The 10636-nt window shown below is 41.9% G+C and overlaps 3 annotated features.

The window, feature by feature from the left end:
• Positions 1196 to 1696: an enhancer, noted in NCBI's record as "H3K4me1 hESC enhancer chr7:124371425-124371925 (GRCh37/hg19 assembly coordinates)". NCBI's record gives its function as "activates a minimal SCP1, AML or CMV promoter by ChIP-STARR-seq in primed H9 embryonic stem cells {active_cell/tissue: H9 hESC(primed)}" and the evidence as "EXISTENCE:reporter gene assay evidence [ECO:0000049][PMID:30033119]".
• Positions 1850 to 2351: an enhancer, noted in NCBI's record as "NANOG-H3K4me1 hESC enhancer chr7:124372079-124372580 (GRCh37/hg19 assembly coordinates)". NCBI's record gives its function as "activates a minimal SCP1, AML or CMV promoter by ChIP-STARR-seq in primed H9 embryonic stem cells {active_cell/tissue: H9 hESC(primed)}" and the evidence as "EXISTENCE:reporter gene assay evidence [ECO:0000049][PMID:30033119]".
• Positions 3994 to 4530: an enhancer, noted in NCBI's record as "OCT4-NANOG hESC enhancer chr7:124374223-124374759 (GRCh37/hg19 assembly coordinates)". NCBI's record gives its function as "activates a minimal SCP1, AML or CMV promoter by ChIP-STARR-seq in primed H9 embryonic stem cells {active_cell/tissue: H9 hESC(primed)}" and the evidence as "EXISTENCE:reporter gene assay evidence [ECO:0000049][PMID:30033119]".

Here is a 10636-nt window from a genome sequence, read left to right on the forward strand (position 1 = left end):
TCTCTGTGCCCCGACCCCTTTCCTGCTTTTCTGGAGGGTAAGGACCCCTGAACCCCTTGCCTCCATGTCTCTACTCTCTCTTTTCTCTGGGCTTGCCTCCTTCACTATGGGCAAACTTCCACCCTCCATTCCTCCTTCTTCTCCCTTAGCCTGTGTTCTTAAGAACTTAAAACCTCTTCAACTCTCACCTGACCTAAAATCTAAGCATCTTATTTTCTTCTGAAATGCCGCTTGACCCCAATACAAACTCAACAGTAGTTCCAAATAGCCAGAAAATGGCACTTTCAATTTTCCATCCTACAAGATCTAAATAATTCTTGTCATAAAATGGGCAAATGGTCTGAGTTGCCTGATGTCCAGGCATTCTTTTACACATCAGTCCCTCTCTAGTCTCTGTTTCCAATGTGACTCCTCCCAAATCCTCCTTCTTCCCTCCCGCCTGTCCCCTCAGTCCCAACCCCAAGCATCTCTGAGTCTTTCCAGTCTTACTTTTCTACAGACCCATCTGACCTTTCCCCTCCTCCTCAGGCTGCTCATCACCAGGCCGAGCTAAGTCCCAATTCTTCCTCAGCCTCTGCTCCTCCACCCTATAATCTTTTTATCACATCCCCTCCTCACACCTGGTCCGGTTTACAGTTTCATTCCGTGAGTAGCCCTCCCCCACCTGCCCAGCAATTTCCTCTTAAAAATGTGGCTGAAGCTAAAGGCATAGTCAAGGTTAATGCTCCTTTTTCTTTATCTGACCTCTCCCAAATCAGTTAGCATTTAGACTCTTTTTCATCAAATATAAAAAACCCAGCCCAGTTCATGGCTCCTTCGGCAGCAACTCTGAGACGCTTTACAGCCCTAGACCCTAAAAGGTCAAAAGGCCGTCTTATTCTCAATATACATTTTATTACCCAATCTGCTCCCAACATTAAATAAAACTCCAAAAATTAAATTCCGGCCCTCAAACCCCACAACAGGATTTAATTAACCTCGCCTTCAAGGTGTAAAATAATAGAAAAAAGTTGCAATTCCTTGCCTCCACTGTGAGACAAACCCAGCCACAACTCCAGCACACAAGAACTTCCAAATGCCTGAACCGCAGCGGCCAGGCGTTCCTCCAGAACCTCCTCCCCCAGGAGCTTGCTACAAGTGCCAGAAATCTGGCCACCAGGCCAAGGAATGCCTGCAGCCCAGGATTCCTCCTAAGCCGCGTCCCATCTGTGCGGGACCCCACTGGAAATCGGACTTTTCAACTCACCTGGCAGCCACTCCCAGAGCCCCTGGAATTCTGGCCCAAGGCTCTCTGACTCCTTCCCAGATCTTGGCTTAGCGGCTGAAGACTGACGCTGCCCGATCACCTCGGAAGCCCCCTAGACCATCACAGACGCCGAGCTTCGGGTAACTCTCACAGTGGAGGGTAAGTCTGTCCCCTTCTTAATCAATACCGAGGCTACTCACTCCACATTACCTTCTTTTCAAGGGCCTGTTTCCCTTGCCTCCATAACTGTTGTGGGTATTGACAGCCAGGCTTCTAAACCTCTTAAAACTCCCCAACTCTGGTGCCAATTTAGACAGTACTCTTTTAAGCACTCCTTTTAGTTATCCCCACCTGCCCAGTTCCTTACTAGGACGAGACACTTAAACTAAATTATCTGCTTCCCTGACTGTTCCTGGATTACAGCTACATCTCATTGCTGCCCTTCTTCCCAATCCAAAGCCTCCTTTGTGTCCTCCTCTTGTATTCCCCCACCTTAACCCACAAGTATAAGATACCTCTACTCCCTCCTTGGCGACCAATCATGCACCCCTTACCATCTCATTAAAACCTAATCAGCTTTACCCCGCTCAATGCCAATATTCCATCCCACAGCATGCTTTGAAAGGATTAAAGCCTGTTATCACTCGCCTGCTACAGCATGGCCTTTTAAAGCCTATAAACTCTCCTTACAATTCCCCCATTTTACCTGTCCAAAAACCAGACAAGTCTTACAGATTAGTTCAGGATCTGCGCCCTATCAACCAAATTGTTTTGCCTATCCATCCTGTGGTGCCCAACCCGTACACTCTTTTGTCCTCAATACCTTCCTCCACAACTCACTATTCCGTTCTCCATCTTAAAGATGCTTTTTTCACTATTCCCCTGCACCCCTCGTCCCAGCCTCTCTTTGCTTTCACTTAGACTGACCTGACACCCATTAGGCTCAGCAAATTACCTGGGCTGTACTGCCGCAAGGCTTCACAGACAGCCCCCATTACTTCAGTCAAGCCCAAATTTCATCCTCATCTGTTACCTATCTCGGCATAATTCTCATAAAAACACACGTGCTTTCCCTGCTGATCATGTCCGATTAATCTCCCAAACCTCAATCCCTTACAAAACAACAACTCCTTTCCTTCCTAGGCATGGTTAGTGCGGTCAGAATTCTTACACAAGAGCCAGGACAGCACCCTGTAGCCTTTCTGTGCAAACAACTTGACCTTACTGTTTTAGCCTAGCCCTCATGTCTGCAAGCAGCGGCTGCTGCTGCTTTAATACTTTTAGAGGCCCTAAAAATCACAAACTATGCTCAACTCACTCCCTACATTTCTCATAACTTCCAAAATCTATTCTCTTCCTCTTACCTGACGCATATACTTTCTGATCCCCGGCTCCTTCAGCTGTACTCACTCTTTGTTAAGTCCCACAATTACCATTGTTCCTGGCCCAGACTTCAATCCAGCCTCCCACATTATTCCTGATATCACACCTGACCCCCATGACTGTCTCTCTGATCCACCTGACATTCACCCCATTTCCCCATATTTCCTTCTTTCCTGTTCCTAACCCTGATCATGCTTGATTTATTGATGGCGGTTCCACTAGGCCTAATCGCCACACACCAGCAAAGGCAGGCTATGCTATAGTACAAGCCACTAGCCCGCCTCTTAGAACCTCTCATTTCCTTTCCATCGTGGAAATCTATCCTCAAGGAAATAACTTCTCAGTGTTCCATCTGCTATTCTACTACTCCTCAGGGATTATTCAGGCCCCCTCCCTTCCCTACACATCAAGCTCGAGGATTTGCCCCCACCCAGGACTGGCAAATTAGCTTTACTCAACATGCCCTGAGTCAGATAAGTAAAATACCTCTTAGTCTAGGTAGACACTTTCACTGGATAGGTAGAGTCCTTTCCTACAGGGTCTGAGAAGGCCACCGCAGTCATTTCTTCCCTTCTGTGAGACATAATTCCTCAGTTTAGCCTTCCCACCTCTATACAGTCTGATAACAGACCAGCCTTTATTAGTCAAATCAGCCAAGCAGTGTTTCAGGCTCTTAGTATTCAGTGAAACCCTTATATCCCTTACGGTCCTCCATCTTCAAGAAAAGTAGAATGGACTAAAGGTCTTTTAAAAACACACCTCACCAAGCTCAGCCACCAACTTAAAAAGGACTGGACAATACTTTTACCACTTTCCCTTCTCAGAAGTCAGACCTGTCCTCAGAATGCTACAAGGTACAGCCCATTTAAGCTCCTGTATAGATGCTCCTTTTTATTAGGCCCCAGTCTCATTCCAGACACCAGACCAACTTAGACTGTGCCCCAAAAAAATTGTCATCCCTACTATCTTCTGTCTAGTCATACTCCTATTCACCATTCTCAACTACTCATACATGCCCTGCTCTTATTTACATTGCCAGTTTACACTGTTTCTCCAAGCCATCACAGCTGATATCTCCTGGTGCTATCCCCAAACTGCCACTCTTAACTCTTAAAGTAAATAAATAATCTTTGCTGGCAGGACTATGCTGAATCTCCTTAGGCACTCTCTAATCAGATGTCCTGAGTCGTCCCAATTCTTAGACCTTTTATACCTGTTTTTCTCCTTCTGTTATTCCATTTAGTTTTTCAATTCATACAAAACTGTATCCAGGCCATCACCAATAATTCTACACGACAAATGTTTCTTCTAACAACCCCACAATATCACCCCTTACCACAAAATCTTCCTTCAGCTTAATCTCTCCCACTCTAGGTTCCCACGCTGCCCCTAATCCCGCTCGAAGCAGCCCTGAGAAACATTGCCCATTATCTCTCCATACCACCCCCAAAAATTTTCACAGTCCCAACACTTCACCACTATTTCATTTTATTTTTCTTATTAATATAAGAAGACAGGAAAGTCAGGCCTCTGAGCCAAAGCTAAGCCATCATATCCCCTGTGACCTGCACGTACACATCCAGATGGCCAGTTCCTGCCTTAACTGATGACATTCCACCACAAAAGAAGTGAAAATGGCCTGTTCCTGCCTTAACTGATGACATTGTCTTGTGAAATTCCTTCTCCTGGCTCATCCTGGCTCAAAAGCTCCCCCACTGAGCACCTTGTGACTCCCACTCCTGCCTGCCAGAGAACAACTCCCCTTTGACTGTAATTTTCCTTTACCTACCCAAATCTTATAAAATGGCCCCACCCCATCTCTCTTTGCTGACTCTCTTTTCGGACTCAGCCCGCCTGCACCCAGGTGAAATAAACAGCCATGTTGCTCACACAAACCTGTTTGGTGGTCTCTTCACATGGACGTGCATGAAAATACATAATAATAAAATTATTAATAATAAAATGTAGTAATAATGGCTAATACTCATTAGTGCTTATTCTATGAAGACACAATTTCGTGTATGCATTAATTCACTTAAATTCAATATTAATGGGTCCCCAGTACTATCAAACATGAGAGGATATCCATATAATTATAAAATAGTCACATGGTGTTAGAAGTTCTAAGGAATTATGAAAGGCTAGAATGAATAAAGGATAGACTGGGGTTTTTTGTTGTTTTTTTTTGTTTGTTTTTTTAGAACATATAGGGCAATGTTTCTCTAAGTCAAGTCAAGTCCCTAACAGAACAACCTGGGTGCTTAGTCCACCATAGACTTAATCAAAATTTCATCCAATGGCTCAGATTTAACCTTGAGAAGAGTTAGTCCTTCAAGCAGATAAATCATGGTCCCAGGATTTTTCACAAGAATCAGGGAATTTCTTGAGTGTTAAGCACTCACTAAATGTGAAAGAAATACCACTGTATGGAAAAGGTCTGCAAGATTTAGAGGTAAAAGATTAGAATATGATTACCTCCATATCAGTAACTTAGACACGGAGATTACCATTATCATTAATATGATGCTCAAGACTTTCTAATCCCATTAAAGAAAACTGGACAGAATGCAAAGTGGGCTGGGTGCAGTGGCTCACACCTGTAACCCCAGCACTTTAGGAGGCTGAGGCGGACGGATCACAAGGTCAGGAGATCAAGACCATCCTGGCCAATATGGTGAAACCCTGTCTCTACTAAAAATACAAAAACAAAATTAGCCAGGTGTGGGGGCGGGCGCCTGTAGTCGCAGCTACTTGGAAGGCTGAGGCGGGAGAATGGTGTGAACCTGGGAGGAGGAGATTGCAGTGAGCCGCGATCATGCCACTGCACTCCAGCCTGGAGGACAGAGCGAGATTCCATCTCAAAAAAAAAAAAAAAATACAGCATTTAGCTCTGCGTGGTGGCACGTTCCTGTAGTCCCAGCTACTCGGCAGGCTGAGGCAGGAGAATCACTTGAAGTCGGAGGTTGCGGTGAGCCGAGATCACACCACTGCACTCCAGGCTGGTGACAGAGCAAGACTGTGTCCAAAAAAAAAAGAGCAAAGTGACCATAACACATTAGACAAAATATCTGTTTCATAAAGCTCATCAAGTAATACTATAACCTAATATTCGGAGTTGTAATCAATATATATGTGAAGGAAATGTGAGTGCAAGAAATAGGCCACAAAATAAAATGTTTAATTCAGCATCTGTATTAGAAACTGTTAAATGATACAGTGTGCTAAACTATATAAACATGAGTTTATATTTCCAGATGCTTGTTAGCATCTCTACGTGCAATAGACATCTCAAATCCAAAAAGTGAGTACCTGGTCTTGCCCCCAAAACCTGTTTTCTCTGTTATCTTCCCAATATCTACTGAAAACAACTCCTCTCTTCCAGTCTTTTAAACTAAAAGTTTGGGCTCAGCCTGAACCTCTCTTTTCTCATACCCTCAATACAATCTGATATCATTTGGATATTTGTCCCCTCCAAATCTCAAGTTGAAATGTGATCCCCACTGTTGAAGGTGGGGCTTAGTGGAAGGTGTTTGGATCATGGAAGTGGATCCCTCATGAATATCTTGGTTCCCTCGCTGAGGTAATGAGTGACTTCTTACTCTATTAGTTTACATGACAGCCAGTAGTCTAAAAGAGCCTGGCATCTCTCTCTGCTCTCTTACCATAAGACACACTGGCTCTACTTTCCTTCTGCCATAAGTAAAAGTTTCCTGAGGCCTCACCAAAAGTTGAGCAGATGCTGGTGCTATGTTTCTTCTACAGTCTGCAGAACCTCGAGCCAAATAAACCTCTTTTCTTTATAAATTACCCAGCCTTGTGGATCACCTGAGGTTAGGAGATCGAGACCAGTCTCGCCAATGTGGTGAAACCCCATCTCTACTAAAAATACAAAAAAATGAGCCAGGTGTGGTGGCATGCACCTGTAATCCCAGCTATTCACGAGGCTGAGGCAGGAAAATCACTTGAACCTGGGAGACAGAGGTTGCAGTGAGCTGAGATCGTGCCATTCATTGCACTCTAGACTGGGTGACAAGAGCAAAACTCCGTCTCAAAGAAAAAAAATATATATATATATATTTATACATATATATATATTACCCAGCCTCAGGTGTTCCCTTACAGCAATGCAAAATGAACGAATACACAATCCATCAACAAATCCTGTCTGGGCATCAACAAATATGCCCAGAATCCAGAATCCATGTCTCCTCACCTCTGCTTTGCCATCCTAATTCACCTAATTCATCTCTTCTGGATCACAACAATAACCTCTAGCTGGTCTCTGCATTCATCCATGCCACCTGTAGTCTAAATCTCAACATGGCAGCCAGAATGATTCTGCAATAACTTAGGTTAAGCCAGACCACTTCTCTAACATTTTTTAAAGACTTATTTTTTTTTTTTTAGCAATTTTAAGTTCACAGCAAATTTGGGAGGAAGGTACATAGATTTTTTATATATTTCCAAAACCCCATGATGCACATCTTTTCTTTCTATAAAGGCAAGTTTCTGACTTACATTATTTTTCTTCTCTTTAAATAACTTTTTACATTTCTTGCAAGGCAGGTCTACTGGCAACAGATACCCTCAATTTTTATTTGTTTGAGAAAGTATTTATCCTTCGCTTTTGAAAAAGAATTTCACAGGATACAGAATCCTAGGCTGTTTTTCTTTTCTCTCAATGCTTCAAATATTTCACTTCCCTCTCTTCTCGCTTGCGTGATTTCTGAGATGTCAGATACAAATCTTATCTTTGTTCCTCTATAGGGAAAGATTATTTTCCCCCTTCTGGCTTCTTTTAGGATTTTTTTTCTTTAACTTAGAATTTTTTTTTTTTTTTTTTGTAGTTTGGAAAGGACATGTGTAGGTGCAGTTTTTGTTTGTTTGTTTTTAACATTTATTCTACTTGTTCTCTGAGCTACCTGGATCAGTAGTTTGGTGTCTGACTTTAATTTGAGGAAATTCTCAGTCATTATTGTTTCAAATATTTTTTTCTGTTTTTCTTTTCCTTCTAGTATTCTAGTATTCCCGTTACTTGTATGTTACATTTTTTTGTAATTGTCCCACAGTTCTTGGATATTCTGTTCTGGGTTTTGTTTGTTTTGTTTTGTTTTGTTTGTCTTTGTTCTCTTTACTTTTCTCAATGGAAATTTCCATTGAGATATCCTCAAGCTCAGAGATTATATCTTCAGCTATGCCCAGTATACTAGTAAGCCCATCAAAGTCATTCTTCCTTTCTGTTATACTGTTTTTGATCTCTAGCATTTCTTCTTAGTTCCTAGAATTTCCATCTCTTCATGTAAATTCCCCATCTGTTATTGCATGCTGTCGATTACAGCCCTTAGCATATTAATCATAGTTGTTTTAAATTCCTGGTCTGATAATTCCAAGATCCCTGCCATGTCTAGTTCTGATGCTTGCTCTCTTTTCAAATTGCAACTTTTGCCTTGTAACTTTTTATTGAAAGCTAGACATGATGTATTAGGTGAAAGGAACTACTATAAATAGGCCTTTAGTAATGTTGTGATAAGATGAGGGGAACAGGAAGCATTCTGCAGTTTTTATAATTATGTCTGTCTTTTAGGAAGCGTATGTCTCTGGACTGTGACATTCACAAGTGTTCCTTGTTTGTTTGATTGTTTTTCTCCTCCCTTGACTTGGAGGGGATGGCTAGAGTAGGCTTGAGTTGGGTATTTATCTTGTCTCATGTGGAAGAATAGAGCTGTTGCTTATTGCCTTTTTTCCCAGGTCAGTTACTCTGTGATAACACCCCCCAGGCTAGCCTCTGGTTAACTAACTTCTCCGGAGGGCAGATCTTGTTAAGAAGAATGGAGTGCTCTGGTATATCTCAAATGGTTACTTTTTCCCTCTTCCTGCTGGAAGCATAAAGAGATTTTTCTTCAGTATTTACTGTAAGAATCTGGGTAAGCTCCTGGAGGTAAATCTTACAAAATTGTCAAGTCCGCCTAGTGACTGGATCCCCTTGGACTTTTTAACTCAGAGTTGTCCACACTGAGCCTCCAGCAGTTTGTCAATGACAGCTCAAGATTTCCTACCGGGATACAGGTTCCTGTGGTGGGTTCTGCTCATTTAGTCTCTGCTCTGGTATGTCGACTCCTTGGCTTCATTTGTCTCTCTAGTCTTCAGGGTAGCAGTTTGTCCTGTGTCCTCACTCTCTTCCAAATCCTAGAAGAGTTGTTAACTTTTTTGTCTGTTGGAATTCTTACTTGTTGTTAGGAAGAACTGGCAATATCTAAGCTCTTTACAAGGCTAAGAAAAGAAATAATAAGAATTAGAGTAAGAATCAATGAAATATAAAACAGAAAAACAACAGAAAAAAATTAAATCAATATTCCTTCTTTGGAAAGATTAACAAAATCGACAGATCTTTAACTAAGCTGACCAAAAGAAGGAGAGAGAAGAGACAGATTATTAAAATCAGGAATAAAACAAAGAACATCACTACCAACTTTGCAGAAATAAAAACAGTTGTAAAATCTATTAGTCAGAGTTATCCAGAGAAATAGAACCAATAGGACATATGGAGATATGCATCATAGGATTTATTATGGGAATTAGCCTGCATGATTATGGAGGCTGAGAAGTTCCACAATATGCTGTCTTCAAGCTGTAGAACCAGGAAAGCTGGTGATGTGATTGGTCTGATTCTGAAAGCCTGAAAACCAGGAAAGCCTGTGGTGTAATTTCCAGTTCAAGGAATTCAGTCTTGTATTTAGACTGCCCTTAGAGGGCTGACTTGTGTCACTCAAAAAGGTATGTTGAAGCCCTAACCTTCAGTTCCTCAAAATTTGACCTTATTTGAAATAAGACATTGCAGATATATTAACTGAAATATTAATTAATTATTTAAAATATTAGTTAAGTTAGATGAGGTCATATTGGAAAGAATGGACTATTAAGCTGCCATGACTGGTGTTTTTATGAGAAGAGTCACACAGAGAGAAAATGGCCTTGTGAAGATGAGGGCAGATTTTGGCGTTATGAACGATCTTCTCCTAGAGCAGAGGTATCCAGGCTTTTAGCTTCCCTGGGCCACATTGGATGAAGAATTGTCTTGGGCCACACATAACACACACTAACACTAATGATAGCTGACGAGAAAAAAAGAATGCAAAAAACATCTCATAATGTTTTAAGAAAGTTTACAAATTTGTGTTGGGCCGCATTCAAAGCCGTCCTAGGCCGCATGCAGCCTGTGGGCCGTGGGTTGAACAAGCTGGTTCTAGAGGCTTAAGAGGGAGCACAGCCCTGCCAACACCTTGATTTTGGACTTCCAGTCTTCACAACTGTCAGAGAATAAATTCTTGTTGTTTTAAGCCACTCTGTTTGTGGTATTTTGTAACAATTGCCCTAAGAACGAGTATATCCTCTGTGATGGTTAATTTTATGTGTCAACTTGACTGTGCTAAGGGATGCCCAGATAACTGTAAAACATTACTTCTGATTGTGTCTGTGAGGGTGTTTCCAGAAGAGATTAGCATTTGAATCAGAAGACTGAGTAAAGAACATCTGCCCTCACCAAAGTGGGCTAGCATCATCCAGTCCATGTGGACGATGGGTGATTTTGCTATCTTCCTAAGCTAAGATGCCACCCCTTGGCCTTGGACATCAGCACTCCATATTCTCAGGCCTTTGGATTCTGGACTTACATCAATGGTCCTCTTCCACTCCCCACGCAGGTTCTCAGGCCTTCAGACTTAGACTGAATTACATGACCAACTTCTCTGGTTTTTCAGCCTGCAGACAGCATAATATGGGACTTCTTATCCTCTATAATCATGCAACTTAATTTCCATAATAAATCCCCTACTATATGCTTATATATGTGCTATTGGTTTTGCACTTCTGAAGGACTCTAACATATCTTATAACTTTTCATTTCTGCAGGGTTGGTAGTAACGTTTCCACTTTCATTCCTGATTTTGAAAATTTGTGTCTTCTCTATTTTCCTTGTGAAAGTCTAGTAAAACATTTGCCAATTTTGTT

This window comes from Homo sapiens, chromosome 7, assembly GCF_000001405.40.
Source record: "Homo sapiens chromosome 7, GRCh38.p14 Primary Assembly".
Taxonomy (NCBI): Eukaryota; Metazoa; Chordata; class Mammalia; order Primates; family Hominidae; genus Homo; species Homo sapiens.